At 36.9% G+C, this 20,687-nt stretch overlaps 1 long non-coding RNA gene across 14 annotated transcripts in view; it reads left to right on the forward strand.

The window, feature by feature from the left end:
* LOC102724542 (uncharacterized) overlaps positions 1 to 19,467 on the forward strand; it is a 368,996-nt gene extending 349,529 nt beyond the window's left edge. For 12 of the 14 annotated variants that reach the window (NR_187701.1, NR_187699.1, NR_187692.1 and 9 more), the window contains 2 exons: positions 17,487 to 17,578; positions 18,922 to 19,467. This is a non-coding gene — a long non-coding RNA (uncharacterized LOC102724542). Of the gene's footprint in view, positions 1 to 5,074; positions 5,187 to 17,486; positions 17,579 to 18,921 lie in introns of all 14 variants that reach the window. The other 2 variants (NR_187698.1, NR_187704.1) reach the window with 1 other exon arrangement.
* Positions 19,468 to 20,687: the final 1,220 nt, after the last annotated feature.

Below are 20,687 nucleotides of genomic sequence, written 5' to 3' on the forward strand. Positions count from 1 at the left end.
ATATTAAAGGATCTGAAGTGAGACCTAGACTGTGACAGTAGGGGATTTAAGTAACCCACTTTCGACTCCAGACAGATCATTCAAACAGAAACTCAAAATAGAAACATTCGACTTAAAGCATACTTTAGTTGAAATGAACCTAGCAAACATATGCAGAATATTTCATCCAACAGTTACAGGATATATTTTTTTCCAAGTTCAGAAGGAATATTCTCCAGGATAGATTATATGTTGGGCAAAAAAAAGTTTTTACACAGTTTAAAAAATTGAAGTTATGTCAAGTGTCAAGTATTCTTTTTTTTCTGACCACAATGGTACAAAACAAGAAATCAGTCACAGAAGGAATCATGGAAAATAAACAGAAATTCAACAATATGCTTCTGAACAATTACTGAGTCAAAGAAGAAATTAAGAGAAATGCTGAACATACTTTGAGACAAATGAAAATGGAAACACAACTTACCAAAATATATGGGAGGCTGCAAAGCAGTTTTAGGAGGAAAATTCATAGCACTAAAAGCCTTTAATAAGAAAAAAAGAAATATCTCAAATAAGCAACCTAATATTATACCTCGAGAAACTAGGGAAAAGGAAAAAAAAGCCAAATACAACGATCCCTCGATATACAGAGAGGATAGGTTCCAGGACCCCCTATGTATACCAAAATCTGCATACTCAAATCCCACAGTCAGACCTGCAGAACCCTTGGTTACAAAATGTTGTCCTCTGTATATGCAGGTTTTACATTCCACAAGTACTGTATTTTTCATCTGCATTTGGTTGAAATATTCTGTAAATTAGTGGATCCATGCAATTCAACTGTATGCTGTGTAAGGGTCAAATGTAAATCAAAAGTTAGCAGAAAGAAAATAAGATTCAGAGTAGAAGTAACTAAAATAAGGACAATGAAAAAACTGAAAAAGATCAACAAACTAAAAGATGGTGTTTTGAAGAGCTGAACAAAGTTGACCAACCCTTCGCAGACTAACCCTTAGCAGAAATACAAAGAATCATAAGAAATTACTAGGAACAATTGTGTCAACAAATTGGAAAACCTAGAAAAAAATGGATAAATTGCTAGAAGTATGTGACCTATCAATATTAAATCATGAATACTCTGGAAATCTGAACAGGATAATAACAAGCAAGAATATTGAATCACTAATTAAATGTCTACCATCAAAGAAAACCCCAGGACCAGATGGCTTTATGGCTGACTTTTTATCCTAATAAAAATTTAGTGATTTAATGATTTTTATCCTGAAATCACTCAGAAACAAAGTGAAATGCCATATATTATCAATTTTTATTTTTTAATTTTTTTATTGAGACAGAGTCTCACTCTCACCCAGGTTGGAGTACAGTGGCATGGTCTCAATTCACTGCAGCCTCTGCCTCCTGGGCTCAAGCAGTCCTTCCCCTTCAGCCTCCTGAGTAGCTGGGACCACAGGCATGTGCTACCAAACCTGTTTTTTTTTTTTTTTGTATTTTTGGTGGAGACAGGGTTTTGCCATGTTGCCTCGGCTGGTCTCGAACTCCCGAGCTCAACGGACCCAACTGCCTTGGCCTCCCAAAGTGCTGAGATTACAGGCATGAACCACTGCACCCAGCCTGCATATTCTCACTTTTAAATAGGTTAGGTGCTAAACAATAGGTACACATGGACATACAGAATGAAATAATGAACACTGGAGACTACAAAAGGTGGGAGAGTAAGAGAAAAGTAGCATTGAAAAATCACCTACTGGGTACAATGTTCACTATTCAGGATATGGGTGCACTAAAATCTCAGACTTCACCACTACACAATATATGCATGTAAGAAACTTGCATTTATAACCACTAAATATATTAAAAATTTAAAATAAATTAAAAAAATAGGATATATCAAATCTACAGATCAAAAAAAAAAACATTATTTTGATTAATGCCAAAAAAGCATTTGATAAAGTTCAAAAACCCTCCATAATAAAAACTGTCAATATACTGGGTACACACACAAAAAATATTCAGAACCATGAGGGCCACTTATGAAAAACCCACGGCTAATATCATGCTAAAAAGGGAAACTTTGAAAGCGTCCACTAAGAGGTGGAACAAAACAAAGATTTCCATTTTTAACACTTTTATTCAACGTAGTACTGAAAGCACTATTCAGAGCAATCAGGCAAGCAAAAAATAAAGAGAATCTAAATTGGGAAGGACAAAGTAAACTTTGCAGATGGCATAATCTCATATGTAGGAAAACCTAAAGACACCACCAGAAACCTCAAAAGTAATAAACAAATGTAGTATAATGGCAGGCTACAAAATTAGGTATTTCCACATACCAACAACAAAATAGCTAAAAGGAAATAAAAAAGCAATTCCATTTACAGTAGTTACAAAACAAAAAAAAAACCTAGGAATAAATTTAACAAAGGTGGTGAAAGAACTCTACAATAAAAAACTGTAAAACATTTGTTAAAAAAAAAAGACACAAAAAATGAAAAGACATCCCATGTTCATGGATTGGAAAAAAATAATATTGTAAAGATGATCATACTATAATACCCAAAGTAAAGAACAGATTTAATGCAATTCTATAAAATGACTAATGTCATTCTTCACAGAAATGAAAAAATCCTAAAATCTGTATGGAACTACAAAAGACTCTGAATAGTCAAACCAATCTTAGCCAAAAAGAACAAAGCTGAAGACATCGTACTAGTAAATTTCAAAATATATTACAAAGCTATAATCAAAATAGCAATGGTACTGGCATAAAGACACATTGACTAACCAAATAGAGTTCCCAGAAACATGCTTATACATCTATGGCTTAACTGATTTTTGACAAGCCAAGAAAACACAATCTCTTCAATAAATGGTATTGGGAAAACTGGATATCCACACACAGGGAGTGAAAATGGATTCTTACCCTTTATATATGAATCAATTAAAATGAATTAAAGTTATAAATGTAAGATCTGAGACTGTAAAACTACTAGAAGAAAACATACCATGCAAAACTCCATGACATTGGTTTGGGTAGTAATATTTTTTATTTTTTTATTTTTTTTTTGGAGACGGAGTCTCACTCTGTCGCCCAGGCTGGAGTGCAGTGGCGCCATCTCGGCTCACTGCAAGCTCCGCCTCCCGGGTTCACGCCATTCTCCTGCCTCAGCCTCCTGAGTAGCTGGGACTACAGGCTCCCGCCACCAGGCCGGCTAATTTTTTGTATTTTAGTAGAGACGGCGTTTCACCGTGTTAGCCAGGATGGTCTCAATCTCCTGACCTCGTGATCCACCCGCCTCGGACTCCCAAAGTGCTGGAATTACAGGCATGAGCCACTGCGCACATGACCCCTAAAACACAGACAACCACAGCAAAAACAGACAAATGAGAGTGCATCAAACTAGAGAACTTTCTCACAGTAGAGGAAATAACTGAGTGAAGAGATACTTAAAACCTACAGATGGTAGAAAATAATTTTAGAAATCATACCTTGAATAAGAGACTAATATTCAAAAGATACAAGACACTCAAGTTACTCAATAAAAAGTAAACAAATAGCTATTTAAATTGAGTAAAGACATTGAATAGACCCTCAGAAGATGACATACAAATAACCAACAGATAAATGAAAAAACAGCAAACATCTCTAGTCAGAGAAATGCAAATAAAACCATAATGAGATATTACTTCCCACCTGTTAGGTTGGCTATTGTCAAAAAGATGAAAAACAAGTATTGGCAAGGATGTAAAGAAAAGGAAAACCTTGTGTACTGTTCGTGGAAATGTAAATTAATATAGCCATTTTGGAAAAGAGTATGAAGGTTTCTCAAACTAAAAATTGATTTACTATATGACACATGATTTCTGTGTATCTATGCAAAGAATTAAAATCTATATGTCAAAAATATGTTTGTACTCCCATACTCTTTGAAGCATTATTCCTAGCAGCAAATATATGGAAACAACTGAAGTGCCCATCAATGGATGAATGGATTAAACAATGTGGTATTCGGATACAATGAAATACCATTCAGTCCTAAAAGTACAGGAAATTCTGTCATTTTCAACAACATGGATGAAACTAGGTGTATATAACACTGCATAAAATAAGCTAGGCACAGAAAGACAAATACCACATGATCTCACTTACATGTGCAAAATGAAAATTGAACTCATAGAAGGAGCGAGTAGAATAGTGGTTACTCAAGGCTGGGGAAATAGGTGGTCATGGCTACAGGAAACACTGATTAAGGTTACATAAGCTCAGAGTGGAAGAATTAGGTTCTAGTGATCTATTGCACAACAAGGTATATATAGTTAAAATTAATGTACACTAGTGCCCATTTATGTGTGGTTTCACTTTCCTTGGTTTCAGTTATTCATGGTCAACCATAGTTAAAAAATATTAAATAAAAATTCAGACACAATTCATAAGTTTTAAATTACAGGATATACTGAGGAGAATAATGAAATCTCTCATTCTACTCTGTTGCCCAGGACATGAATCATCATTTTGTCCAGCCTATCCATGCTAAATATGCTGCTCACCCATTAGTCACTTAGTAGCTGTCGATTATCAGACTACTCATTGTGATATTGTAGTTCAAGTAATACTTATAGCTCCAGAGTGCAAGAGTAGTGATCATGGTATTTCAGATATGCTAAAGAAAAGCCACAAAGTTTGTCCTTTAAGGAAAAAGGTTAAAGTTTTTACTGTATGTATTTGTTTATAGAAATAAAAGGCATATGGTATATGTACAGTTTGGTATTATTGGAGGTTTCAGGCATCCACTGAGGGTCTTCCAAGTTATCCCCTGTGAATGAGGGGGGCCTACTATATTGTATATTTTAAAACAATTAAAGGAATGAATTTTAAATGTTCTCACCACAAAACTATTTGAGATGAGGGATATGTTAATCCACAATATATACATTTATAGAAACATCACATTGTACTTCACAAATATGTGCAACTTTTGTCAATTAAACATAAAACTTGAAAAATTAAGAAAAATAATGTAAAAGGCTTTAAGATATTTCAATAAATGTATTATCACATAATGAGTTTACTTTGCAGTTCGAACTATAAAGTATACCTATTCCTCAAGAACAAACCGAACACAAACCTGGGAGAAAAAAGAAAGACTGAAGTGGAACTAAATAATATTGAAACCAACAAGCAATACAAGGTATCAATTAAATAAAAAGTTGGCTCTAAAAAGAAATAAAATTTACCTTTGATTGATTGCTTTTGGTGTCATGTCTTAACAATTCATTACCAAGGACTAGGTCACATACACTATTTTTTTTCTTCAACTTTTAAGTTCTGGGGTACATGTGCAGGATGTGCAGGTTTGTTACATAGGTAAACATGTGTCATGGTGGTTTGCTGCACAGATCAACCCATCACCTGGGTATTAACTCCAGCATCCATTAGCTATTCTTCCTGATGCTCTCCCTCCCAGCCCCCTCACTCTGACATGCCCCAGTGTGTGTTGATCCCCCCAATGTGTCCATGAGTTCTCATCATTCAGCTCCCACTTATAAGTAGAAGCATGCGGTATTTGGTTTTCTGTTCCTGGGTTAGTTTGCTGAGGATAATGGCTTCCAACTCCATCCATGTCTCTGCACAGGACATGATCTCATTCTTTTTATGGCTGCATAGTACTCCATGGCATATAGGTCCCACATTTTCTTTATCCAGTCTATTACTGAAGGGCATTCGGGTTGATTTGATGTCTTCATGTTGTGAATAGCACTGCAATGAATATACGTGTGGATGTGTTTTTATAATAGTATCATCTATATTTCTTTGGATATATAGCCAGAAATGAGATGACTGGGTCAAATGGTATTTCTGCCATTTTTGAGGATCTTTGATCTTTGAGGAATTTCCACAATGTCTTCCACAATGATTGAACTAATTTACACTCCCACCAACAGTGTAAAAGCATTTTCTTTTATCTGCAACGTTGCCAGCATCTGTTGTTTCTGGACTTTTTAATAATTGCCATGATGACTGGCCTGAGATAGTATCTCATTGTGATTTTGATTTGCATTTCTCTAATGATCAATGATGTTGAGCTTTTTTTCATATGTTTGTTGGCCACACGAATGTCTTCTTTGGAGAAGTGTCTGTTCATGTCCTTTGTCCTCTTTTTAATGGGGTTTAGCTTTTTCTTGTTAAATTTGTTTAAGTTTCTTACAGACTCAGGTATTAGACCTTTGTCAGATGAAAAGATTTCAAAACTTTTCTCCCATTCTGTAGGTTGTCTGTTCACTCTGATTATAGTTTCTTTTGCTGTACAGAAGCTCTTTGGCTTAACCAGATCCCATTTGTCAATTTTGGCTTTTGTTGCAATTGTTTTTGGCATTTTCATCATGAAATCTTTGCTCGTGCCTGTGTCTTGAATGGTATTGCCTAGATTTTCTTCTACGGTTTTTACAGTTTTAGGTTCTGCAGTTAAATTCTTAATCCATCTTGAGTTAATTTTTGTATAAGATGTAAGGAAGGAATCCAGTTTCAATCATTTGCATGTGGCTAGCCAGTTCTCCCAGCACCATTTATTGAATAGGGAGCCCTTTCCCCATTGCGTTTGTCAGGTTTGTCGAAGATCAGATGGATGTAGGTGTTCCGTCTTATTTCTGAGTTCTCTATTCTGTTCCATTAGTCTATGTGTTTGTTTTTGTACCAGTATCATGCTATTTTGGTTACTATAGCCTTGTAGTATAGTTTGAAGTCAGGTAGCATGATGTCTCTAGCTTTATTCTTTTTGCTTAGGATTGTTTTGGCTATACAGGCTCTTTTATAGTTCCACATGAATTTTAAAATAGTTTATTCTAATTCTGTGAAGAATGTTAAAGGTAGTTTAATGGGAATACCATTGAGTCTATAAATTGCTTTGGGCAGTATGGCCATTTTCAAGATATTATTTCTTCCTATCCATGAGCATGAAATGTTTTTCTACTTGTGTTCTCTCTGATTTTCTTGAGCAGTGGTTTGTAGTTCTTTTTGAAGAGGTCCTTCACTTCCCTTTTTAGCTGTATTCCTAGTATTTTATTCTTTTTGTAGCAATTGTGAATTGGAGTTCATTCATGATTTCAATCTCTGCTTGCCTGTTTTTTGTGTATATAAATGCTAGAAAATTTTGTACATTGATTTTGTATCCTGAGACTTTGCTGAAGTTGCTTATCAGCTTAAGAAGTCTTTAGGCTGAGACAATTAGGTTTTCTAGATATAGAGTCATGCCATCTGCAAACAGAGATAATTTGACTTGTTCTCTTCCTATTTGAATAGTTTTTATTTCTTTCTCTTGCCTAATTGTCCTGACCGGAACTTCCAATACTGTGTTGAATAGGAGTGGTGAGAGAGGGCATCTTTATCTTGTGCTGGTTTTCAAGGGGAATACTTCCAGCTTTTGCCCATTTAGTATGATGTTGGCTATGGGTTTGTCATATACGCCTATTATTATTTTCAAGTACATTCCTTCAATATCTAGTTTATTGAGAGCTTTTAACATGAAGAGATGTTGGTTTTTTTGAAGGCCTTTTCTGCATGTATTGCGATAATCATGTGTTTTTGTCTTTAGTTCTCTGTTTATATGATGAATTACATTTATTGATCTGTATATGTTGAACCTTCTTGCATTTTGGCAATAAATCCAACTTCATTGTGGTGAATAAGCTTTTTGATGTGCTGCTGGATTCAGGTTGCCAGTATTTTATTGAAGATTTTTGCATTGATGTTCATCAGGGATAATAGCCTGAAGTTTTCATATTTGGTATTGTATATCTGCCAGGTTTTGATGTCAGGATAATGCTGGCCTCATAAAATGAGTTACGGAGGAGTCCCTCCTTTTAAATTTTTGGAATAGTTTCAGTAGAAATAGTGCCAGCTCTTCTTTGCACCTCTACCAGAGGTGCAAAGAAGAATAATAGCCTGTCAACCAAAAAAAGCCCATCTGGTCCTGGGCTTTTTTAAATTGGTGGGCTATTTATTACTGCCTCAATTTCCTCCTTAAAATAAATAAATAAATAAATAAAAAAGCCGGGTGCTATGGCTCACGCCTGTAATCCCAGCACTTTGGGAGGCCAGGGTGGGTGGATCACGAGGTCAGGAGTTCGAAACCAGCCTGTCCAACACGGTGAAGCCCTATCTCTACAAAAAATACAAAAATTAGGTGGGTGTGGTGGTGGGTGCCTGTAATCCCAGCTACTCAGGGGGCTGAGGCAGGAGAATCGCTTGAACCTAGGAGGCAGAGGTTGCAGTGAGCCGAGATCACACCACTGCACTCCAGCCTGGGTGAGAGAGTGAGACTCCATTTCAAAATAAATAAATTAATTAAATTACATAAACTTTATTCTGCAAAAAACACTCAAGAAAATGAAAAGAGACACAGACTTGAGAAAGTACTTGCACATCAAATATTGAAGAACTTGTGTCCAGAATGTATAAAGAATTCTCAGAACACAATATGAAAAGGTCAACAGAAAATTCAAATAAGCACATTCAGAAATGATAATGGTGACGTTACAACTGATACCACAGTAACACAAAGATCAGATATTTCTATGTGCTTCTCTATGGACAAAAACTAGGAAATCTAGAGGAAATGGATAAATTCCTGGAAACATACAACCTTCCAACATAAAACCAGGAAGAAAGAGAAGTCATGAACAAACCAATAATTAGTCATAAACCTGAATCAGCAATAAAAAACTTCCCCCTCCACGCCCAGAAAAACAGCCCAGGATCAGGCAGATTCATAGCTGCATTTTAACAGGTATACAAAGACAAACTGATACCAATCCTACTGAAGCTGTTCAAAAATATTGAGGAGAGATTCATCCCAAACTCTTCTATGAAGCTGATATTACTCTAATGAGGCAAGAAAGCAATAACAAAAAGCAAACTATAGGTTAATATCCTCAACAGAATACTAGGCAACAAAATCTAACAGCACATCAAAAAGAATATGCCACAATTAAATGAGTTTTATTCCATGGATGCAAGAAGGTTTCAACATACACAAATCAATAAATGTGATGCACAATATAAATAGAATTTTTTAAAAACCACAGATCATTTCAATAGATGCAGAAAAAACATTTGACAAAATTCAGCATCCCTTTATAAACGCCCTTAACAAATTACTCATAGAGGGAACATACCTCAAAGTAATGAAAACCATATATAACACACTCACAGCCAACATCGTACTGAATGAGAACAAGTTGTAAGCATTTCCCTTAAGAACTGGGACAAGACAAGGATGTTCACTTTCACTACTCCTATTCAACAAAGTACTGGAAGTCCTAGCTAGAGCAACAGTCTTGAATTAGGATTTAAAATTTGGCTTTACAGGAAATTACATATGTAACCCCCTATATAATGCACATTTACATGAGAATGTGGATCAAGTCACGACATTGAAATACAGAAGGACAATACAGATAAGAAAAGGCTCAAACTTGCAAGGCAAATAAATGTAAATTACCCACCCAATTAGTTATATATAAGTACAATATTTGCTGATACCCAGGCAAACATGGGGACTGGAGCGGACCTTCAGCAAACTCAAACAGACCTGCAGCTGAGGGTCCTGACTGTTAGAAGGAAAACTAACAAACAGAAAGGACATCCACACCAAAACCCCATCTGTACGTCACCATCATCAAAGACCAAAGGTAGATAAAACCACAAAGATGGGGAAAAAACAGCAGAAAAACTGGAAACTCTAAAAATCAGAGGGCCTCTCCTCCTCCAAAGGAACCCAGCTCCTCACCAGCAACGGAACAAAGCTGGACGGAGAATGACTTTGACAAGTTGAGAGAAGAAGGCTTCAGACGATCAAACTACTCCAAGCTAAAGGAGGAAGTTCGAACCTACGGCAAAGAAGTTAAAAACCTTGAAAAAAAATTAGACGAATGGCTAACTAGAATAACCAATGCAGGGAAGTCCTTAAAGGACCTGATGGAGCTGAAAACCAAGGCATGAGAACTACGTGACAAATGCACAAGCCTCAGTAGCCGATTCGATCAACTGGAAGAAAGGGTATCAGTGATGGAAGATGAAATGAAGCGAGAAGAGAAGTTTAGAGAGAAAAGAATAAAAAGAAACAAACAAAGCCTCCAAGAGATATGGGACTATATGAAAAGACCAAATCTACGTCTGATTGGTGTACCTGAAAGTGATAGGGAGACTGGAACCAAGTTGGAAAACACTCTGCAGGATATTATCCAGGAGAACTTCCCCAATCTAGCAAGGCAGGCCAATATTCAAATTCAGGAAATACAGAGAATGCCACAGAGATACTCCTCAAGAAGAGCAACTCCAAGACACATAATTGTCAGATTCACCAAAGTTGAAATGAAGGAAAAAATGTTAAGGGCAGCCAGAGAGAAAGGCTGGGTTACCCACAAGGGGAAGCCCATCAGACTAACAGCTGATCTCTCGGCAGAAACTCTACAAGCCAGAAGAGAGCGGGGGCCAATATTCAACATTCTTAAAGAAAAGAATTTTCAACCCAGAATTTCATATCCAGCCAAACTAAGCTTCATAAGTGAAGGAGAAATAAAATCCTTTACAGACAAGCAAATGCTGAGAGATTTTGTCACCATCAGGCCTGCCCTAAAAGAGGTCCTGAAGGAAGCACTAAACATGGAAAGGAACAACCGGTACCAGCCACTGCAAAAACATGCCGAATTGTAAAGACCATCAAGGCTAGGAAGAAACTGCATCAACTAATGAGCAAAATAACCAGCTAACATCATAATGACAGGATCAAATTCACACATAACAATATTAACCTTAAATGTAAATGGGCTAAATGCTCCAATTAAAAGACACAGACTGGTAAATTCGATAAAGAGTCAAGACCCATCAGTGTGCTGTATTCATGGAACCCATCTCATGTACAGAGACACACATAGGCTCAAAATAAAGGGATGGAGGAAGATCTACCAAGCAAATGGAAAACAAAAGAAGGCAGGGGTTGCAATCCTAGTCTCCGATAAAACAGACTTTAAACCAACAAAGATCAAAAGAGACAAAGAAGGCCATTACATAATGGTAAAGGGATCAATTCAACAAGAAGAGCTAACTATCCTAAATATATACGCACCTAATACAGGAGCACTCAGATTCATAAAGCAAGTCCTTAGAGACCTACAAGGAGACTTAGACTCCCACACAATAATAATGGGAGACTTTAACACCCCACTGTCAACATTACACAGATCAATAAGACAGAAAGTTAGGACACCCAGGAATTGAACTCAGCTCTGCACCAAGCGGACCTAATAGACGTCTACAGAACTCTCCACCACAAATCAACAGAATATACATTGTTCTCAGCACCCACCACACTTATTCGAAAATTCACCACATAGTTGGAAGTAAAGCACTCCTCAGCAAATGTAAAAGAACAGAAATTATAACAAACTGTCTCTCAGACCACAGTGCAATCAAACTAGAACTCAGGATTAAGAAACTCACTCAAAACTGCTCAACTACATGGAAACTAAACAACCTGCTCCTGAATGACTACTGGGTACATAACGAAATGAAGGCAGAAATAAAGATGTTCTTTGAAACCAATGAGAACAAAGACACAACATACCAGAATCTCTGGGACACATTTAAGGCAATGTGTAGAGGGAAATTTTTAGCACTAAATGCCCATAAGAGAAAGCAGGAAAGATCTAAAATTGACACTGTAACATCACAATTAAAAGAACTGAGAAGCAAGAGCAAACACATTCAAAAGCTAGCAGAAGGCAAGAAATAGCTAAGATCAGAGCAGAACTGAAGGAAATAGAGACACAAAAGACCCTTCAAAAAATCAATGAATCCAGTAGCTGGTTTTTTGAAAAGATCAACAAAATTGATAGACTGCTAGCAAGACTAATAAAGAATAAAAGAAGAATCAAATAGACACAATAAAAAATGATAAAGGGGATATCACCACTGATCCCACAGAAATACAAACTACCATCAGAGAATACTATAAAGACCTCTACACAAATAAACTAGAAAATCTAGAAGAAATGGATAAATTCCTCAACACATACACCCTCCCAAGACTAAACCAGGAAGAAGTTGAATCTCTGAATAGACCAATAACAGGCTCTGAAACTGAGGCAATAATTAAAAGCTTACCAACCAAAAAAAGTCCAGGACCAGATGGATTCACAGCCGAACTCTACCAGAGGCCCAAGGAGGAGCTGGTACCATTCCTTCTGAAACTATTCCAATCAATAGAAAGAGAGGGAATCCTCCCTGACTCATTTGATGAGGCCAGCATCATCCTGATACCAAAGCCAGGCAGGGACACAACAAAAAAAGAGAATTTTAGACCAATATCCCTGATGAACATCGATGTAAAAATCCTCAATAAAATACTGGCAAACTGAATCCAGCAGCACATCAAGAAGCTTATCCACCATAATTAAGTGGGCTTCATCCCTGGGATGCAAGGCTGGTTCAACATATGCAAATCAATAAACATAATCCAGCATATAAACAGAACCAATGACAAAAACCATATGATTATCTCAATAGATGCAGAAAAAGCCTTTGACAAAATTCAACAACGCTTCATGCTAAAAACTCTCAATAAATTAAGTATTGATGGGATGTATCTCAAAATAATAAGAGCTATCTATGACAAACCCACAGCCAATATCATACTGAATGGGCAAAATCTGGAAGCATTCTCTTTGAAAACTGGCACAAGGCAGGGATGCCCTCTCTCACCACTCCTATTCAACATAGTGTTGGAAGTTCTGGCCAGGGCAATCAGGTGAGAGAAGGAAATAAAAGGTATTCAGTTAGGAAAAGAGGAAGTCAAATTGTCCCTGTTTGCAGATGACGTGACTGTATATCTAGAAAACCCCATTGTCTCAGCCCAAAATCTCCTTAAGCTGATTGATAGGCAACCTCAGCAAAGTCTCAGGATACAAAATCAATGTACAAAAATCACAAGCATTCTTATACACCAATAACAGACAAACAGAGAGCCAAATCATGAGTGAACTCCCATTCACAATTGCTTCAAAGAGAATAAAATACCTAGGAATCCAACTTACAAGGGACTTGAAGGTCCTCTTCAAGTGTAACTACAAACCACTGCTCAAAGAAATAAAAGAGGATGCAAACAAATGGAAGAACATTCCATGCTCATGGGTAGGAAGAATCAATATCGTGAAAATGGCCATACTTCCCAAGGTAATTTATAGATTCAATGCCATCCCCATCAAGCTACCAATGACTTTCTTCACAGAATTGGAAAAAACTCCTTTAAAGTTCATATGGAATCAAAAAAGAGCCTGCATTACCAAGTCAATCCTAAGCCAAAAGAACAAAGCTGGAGGCATCATGCTACCTGACTTCAAACTATACTACAAGGCTACAGTAACCAAAACAGCATGGTACTGGTACCAAAACAGAGATATAGACCAATGGAAGAGAACAGAGCCCTCAGAAATAATGCCGCATATCTACAACCATCTGATCTTAGACAAACTTGACAAAAACAAGAAATGGGGAAAGGAGTCCCTATTTAATAAATGGTGCTGGTAAAACTTGCTAGTCATATGTAGAAAGCTGAAACTGGATCCCTTCCTTACACCTTATACAAAAATTAATTCAAGATGGATTAAAGACTTACATGTTATACCTAAAACCATAAAAACCCTAGAAGAAAACCTACGCAATACCATTCAGGACATAGGCATGGGCAAGGACTTCATGTCTAAAACACCAAAAGCAATGGCAACAAAAGCCAAAATTGACAAATGGGATATAATTAAACTAAAGAGCTTCTGCACAGCAAAAGAAACTACCATCAGAGTGAACAGGCAACCTACAGAATGGGAGAAAATTTTTGCAATCTACTCATCTGACAAAGGTCTAATATCCAGAATCTACAATGAACTCAAACAAATCTACAAGAGAAAAACAAACAGCCCCATCAAAAAGTGGGTGAAGGATATGAACAGACATTTCTCAAAAGAAGACATTTATGCAGCCAGCAGACACATGAAAAAATGCTCATCATCACTGGCCATCAGAGAAATGCAAATCAAACCACAATGAGATACCATCTCACACCAGTTAGAATGGTGATCATTAAAAAGTCAGGAGCTGAAGAGGATGTGAAGAAATAGGAACACTTTTACACCGTTGGTGGGACTGTAAACTAGTTCAACCATTGTGGAAGTCAGTGTGGTGATTCCTCAGGGATCTTGAACTAGAAATACCACTTGACCCGGCAATCCCATTACTGGGTATATACCCAAAGGATTATAAATCATGCTGCTATAAAGACACATGCACATGTATGTTTATTGCGGCACTATTCACAATAGCAAAGACTTGGAACCAACCCAAATGTCCAACAATGATAGACTGAATTAAGAAAATGTGGCACATATGCACCATGGAATACCATGCAGCCATAAAAAATGATGAGTTCATGTTCTTTGTAGGGATATGGATGAAGCTAGAAACCATCATTCTCAGCAAACTATCTCAAGGACAAAAAAACCAAATACCACATGTTCTCACTCACAGGTGGGTATTGAACAATGAGAACACATGGACACAGGAAGGGAAACATCACACACCGGGGCCTGTTGTGGGGGTGGGGGAGGGGGGAGGGATACCATTAGGCGATATACCTAATGTTAAATGACGAGTTGATGGGTGCAGCACACCAACATGGCACATGTATACATATGTAACTAACCTGCATGTTGTACACATGTATCCTCAAATTTAAAGTGTAATAAAAAAAAAAAGAAAAAGAAAACAAAAAAAACACATGTTCCTGATATCCAAATCAACACTATTGATAAAGCCAAAGTCTGGAAGCTACTTAAGTGCCTATAATATTAGAAAGGGTTAATAATTTGGTCTATCCACAGTTGAATACTACACAGCAATGAAAATGAGCAATTTACTACTGCACGCAATTTTACAAACATAATGTTGAGCCAAAGAAACAAAGCAGTACCTACTGTATGATTTCATTTATAGAATATAGAAAAAGGAGCCTTTTTCTATATTCTAGAAGCAAAGATATTGCTTATGCTCTGTATGCTTCTAGAAGTGAAGATATTGCTTATGCTCTGTAGGTTTAGTGACTTTAGTAGATTTGTTTCCAAATCTACAAACACTCAATTCCCTTATGTAGGTTTATATAGTGTTTGCATATGAACCATGTATATCCTCCTGTATAGTTGAAATCATTTCTAGATTACTGTGTTTATAATACCTAATATCATGTAAATGCTATGTAAGTAGTTATACTCTATTATATTTTATTTGTATTATTTTTAGTTATATTGGATTTATGTTTGTTTGCCCATGGACACTTTAAATCTGCAGTTGAATTTGTGAATGCAGAACCCATGGATACAGAACCTGTAGTTATGGAGGACTGACTGTGTGAGACACCCAGGAGGGGTTGGATTAACTAAAGCCATTCTCCTTTTTCCTTTTCATTTTCACATTTCTATCTTAGATAACTAGGTGCCACTAAGAAAAGAAAAAAATCCAAAACTAATATAAATTTTAGCAAGAAAGGTGATTTTAATTTTGGAAATGTTGAATAGAACTCTTTATGTCATTCCAGGGTTGTGATGTCTATTAAATAAAGTTTAGCCTAAAGCTGCCCTCTTACATATTTTAAGTTCCACCAACAGTTCTCCATACATAATGAACTGTAACAACTGGATGTGTAAACCGACTATAACCTACCCTTGCACTAATCACAGAGTGGTCAAATCACAGGCAGCCAACTGTTCAAACATGTTCAAAAAGGCAGCCACTGAGCTGTAACCAATTTGGCTGCTTTTGTACCCCATTTCCATTTTCTCTACATCATACATCACTCTCCTTTTTCTGTCCATAAATGTTATCTGACCATGTAGCAGCCCCGGAGTTGCTCTGCATCTATCGTGGTTGTGGAGGCTGTCTGATTTGTGAATCATTCTTTACTCACTTAAACTCTGTTAAATTTGTCTTAAGTTTTTAACATGTCTTTCTGACATACTTAGGCATATATGGAAATCATGTTTTGAATTAGACATTGTTGAAATTGACCCAAGCCCTGTGATCCTGAAAAACAGAAGGTCAAAAAATCTTTTCACCTTTTATGTTTTTGGAAATGGCTTACTGACAAGAACCATCCTTCCTAAGTGACTTGGATGAGACTCAAACATGCTTCCTTATATGACAAGATCAGACAAGGTTGTTCCAAATTCCCATCCTTTGCCAGATAAGGAATTAGTAAATTCTTTGTCCCCACTGATCAATCTAAACAAAATGTTTATTAACCAACCTTTGCTTAAGATTGTTTCCTCCAAGTCCTTTATCTTTGAGTAAACTTAGTCTATGACAGCATACAACCCATCTTTAACAGTCACTTCCAATAGGCTGGCCTCAGGAAAACATTCCCTAATCTGCTGAATCATGACACTGTTATTCATCTCACTTCCACATCTGGTTCTTTCGATCTTTGTTTACTCTTTCCCATTAAAAAACAACAACAAAAAACCCTTTTCCCTAACTTTTGATAAACTCATATTTTCTGGTTTTAATGTTCTCCCTACTGCAATAGCCCTCATTTTTCTATGACAATAGTCCCTTCCCCCAACCGTTTTCAATAATCCTTCTGAACAAAGTATCTTACTCAGTTCATATTTATTGTGTATTTGACAGAGCAATTAACATATAATTGGTATGAGAAAGCAAAAAAGAGAAGAGAATTTTACCACGTATGTAAACCCGAATATCATCAATATTTACAACGTAGAATAAGGATAAAAAGTCCAGGAAATGGTTTGGAAAACAAAACAAAACACAGACACCTGAAGAATACAATGGAAATTGGAGAAATTTATTGAAAAACTTAAGAGATGTGCATCCCTCATCAAAACCAAGATTTTATTCTCTTGTCAGCTAGAAGGGACAATAAAGAGGGTCTAGGAGGAATCACAAAGTATTTAGCACCTAATAACTGCCAAAATTTCCACTAATTACTCTAGCACTTAACCCTCAGCAAGAACACTCACCAGTGTAGGTGAGTATGGTGTGGGCTTTGAAGGTCAATAGACCTAGATTTAAATTTAGATATTTCTTAGACACTGATTGACTCAACATAAAAATAGTAACAATAAAGTATTAGAACTATTAACATATTGAACGGTTATGTTCTAGGAATGAAACTAAAAACACTTATACTATTGCATCTACTTCCATAGACATTATATGATGCAGCTATTTTCAATACCTGCATTTATCTATGAAGAAATTGTGGCACAAGGAGGTTTAAAAAGATGCCCAGTCTTATATGATGAATCTGGGATTTGAACTCAGGCACATCTTCCTGGTCACTCAATCCCCTAACTTTTACGTTTGGTTGCTGACTTTTCCAAGTTAATTAAACTCCTTAAATTATCTTCTATTCTATTTTCTCTTATAGAAACCAGCAAAGAGTACATAGAACAAACATTTTTTTTAGAAGGATTAAATGGGACAATTAAACAATTTGATCAGCATAATGTCCAGCTCAAGGTAAGGCCTCAATAAATGTGAGCTCTTAATCTTTTGTAAGTGAGAATACCAAGTCTCAGAAAGAAAAATTCCATCAAGGTCATTCAGGTAGCAATTAAAATAATTAGGATTCAAAAGCATGTCTTTGTAATCCAAAGTCTGTTATTTTCCACCACAGCTTGCTGTCTCAAATGAGTGAGATAAATCGAATTTTGATTAATAAATGAAACAGTGCATTTACTTTTATCATTATGCTTTTTGGGAAAGATTTTAAACTAGTTCTCTTGTGATAAGGGCAGTGAGACCAACAGGACCTTATGTCATAGAGATTGCTTCTCCATCTGGCATGATTGAGTAAGGATGCAAGACTTTGGAGGAAAATGAAATCACTCTCAGCTGTCACCTTTCTTTCTTTCTTACCAGTGTTTTACAACATCTGCTGCTGCTCTTTTCACACCCATGGATCTTAATCATTTTTTTCCAGTTTAAAATTACATTCTTCTCTAGGGGTGTCCTCCTCACTCATTGCTAAATAATGCCATTCATGATGTCACACCATATTCTGTTTCTGTCCCTGGTGAGTGGACAAAAACTAAGCATATGTGGAACATTGTGAAACAGAGATGTCAGAAGCTCTCCAAAGCTGCCTCCAGTGAAGGCCTGATTCCTGAGCCTTGTATAAAAGGAGATTTGATCCAGGATAACAAGAATAGGAGACACTGAGGCTTGGAGCTGATTACATGTCCATCCTTTGTGGAAGAATATAGAATACAGCAAACTGAGCTGCAAAGGCCCATCTCAATTGACAAGGTGCCACCTCAGGCAAGATGTAGAAATTGGATAAAAATCATAATGTATTTATGGGCTGATGGTACAAAATTAGCTGCATTCAATGGAATTTTTAAAGAGAATCATACTTACCCTATTTTTTGAGTCCATTAGAACACAAAACCTATAAAAACATTTAATTTGCCATGTGCATGATTTGTGTCAGAGACAAAGTAAAACATGGCATTCATCTTGGATTTACTTAATGTCTACATTTCTCACTAGACTACAAGTTGCATGGTACAGATAATATTTGCAAGTTGTCTTTATTGCTGTTCTATTGCCAAATAGTAGCAAAATGCCTAGCGTTGTGCTTGGAGCACAGTAGGTGCTCAATAAATGTTTATATAATTAATAAATTGATGAATAAATTCATGAGCATGAGAAAGGAAGACTGGAATTAAACAGAAAAGATATATCTTAAGTTAGTGGACTGTTAAAAAAGACAGGTAAAGAGATTAAACAGGATGTTGTGAGTAAAAACTAATGGTTTACCCAAGTTTCCCACATTTAATACATGTTTGCTTCCTTTACAGGATCTTGGAGGTGGTGAGGCAGCCCAAGTGGAAAGGCAGCAGAAGGGGTATCCTTGTTTTACCAATTACTCATATGTAGGAGATGGTGCATTAAATGAAATATTCTCTGCTCTCTCCTAACATCTACCCCCTCACACCAAGAGGAAGGCATGTCGCCTGAACCTTTGCAGTATTCAATTAAAGTTCTATTCACACGGTATTGCAGTTGTTTGCTTATCTTTCTTTCTTATTAGACTTAAAACTTCTGGAAACTAGAGGCTATATTACTTATTTGCCTCAGAGTCCTGTTGGCCTATCAAATGGCACACCTTCAATCCAAGAATGAATTAATTAAATAAATGTGAAGAAAAAAAAAATCCAAGTTGCTTATTTTTGTTAAATTTATTTTTCCCCAAAATATTTACTGAGAAAATGACTCTGGGAAGATAGCAGAGTGGAAAGCCCCAGAAATGTGTTTCCCCACCTAGACAACAACTGTACTGGCAGAATCTGTTTGATGTGACTATTCTGAAGTTCTGAATTGAATAAATATGAAGAAAATACAAAGTGCAAGTCTTGTTACTTCCAAGGGATGGCTTGCATAGTAAGTTGTTTATTTTGGTGAGTTTCAGCTTTTGATTGATTGGGTAGTGGCTACTCATCCCCAATCCTAGCCATGGTAGGAAGCTGTGTGCCTCTTCCTGGAGCAGCTTGTACATGGTTTGTGGGAGCCAGGGTGAACAATAAGGATCCTAACCTCCAAACATCAGGTGTCTGTGCTCTGATTACTAATTGCTTCTTCTGATTGAAGAGATACAGACACAGGTGAGGAGCCATTGTTTCAATCCTCACTGAAATAGTCATTATTCACAATAACCAAAAGGTAGAAACAACCCAAATGTTCATCAACAGATGATGACTGGATAATCAAATTGTGGTATAGACGTACTGTGAAATATTATTCAGCCTTAAAGAGGAAGGAAATAATTTTGACACATGCTATAACATGAACAAGCTTTAAGGACATTTTTCTTCATCTAGCTAAAAGACAAACTGTGTAATTCCACTTATACAAGGTACCAAGAGTATCAGCTTTATAGAGACATAAAGTATACTGATTGGCAGGAGTTTGGGTAAGGAGGGTGTATCAGGCCATTCTTACATCGCTATTAAGAAATACCAGATATTGGGTAATTCATAAAGGAAAAAGGCTCATGGTTCTGCTGTACAGAGAAGCCTGGTGCTGGCATCTGCCAAGGCCTCGTGAAGCTTTGAATAATGGCAGACGGGACCCTGTGCAGTGGCTCACCCCTGTAATCCCAGTACTTTGGGGGGCCGAAGCTGGTGGATCACCTGAGCTCAGGAGTTCGAGACCAGCCTGACCAACATTGTGAAACTCCATCTCTACTAAATACAAAAAAAAATTAGCCAGGCATGGTGGTGCATGTCTATAATCCCAACTACTTGGGAGGCTGAGGCAGGAAAATCACCAGAACCCAGGAGGCAGAGGTTTCAGTGAGCCGAGACTTTGCCATTGCACTCCAGCCTGGAAACTCCATTTAAAAAAAAAAAAAAAAAGAAACAAAAGAAAAGAAAAATAATAATGGCAGAAGACAATGGGGGAATCCAGTGTCTTACATGGTAAGAAGTTGGGGGAGCTGCTACATACTTTTAAAAAACCAGGTTTCCTGATAACTCACTCACTGTCGTGAGGACAGCATCAAGAAATGAGGGATCCACCCCCGTGACCCATGACCTCCCACCAGGCCACATCTCCAACAATGGGG

The sequence above is a fragment of the Homo sapiens genome, chromosome 2 (genome assembly GCF_000001405.40).
Source record: "Homo sapiens chromosome 2, GRCh38.p14 Primary Assembly".
Taxonomy (NCBI): Eukaryota; Metazoa; Chordata; class Mammalia; order Primates; family Hominidae; genus Homo; species Homo sapiens.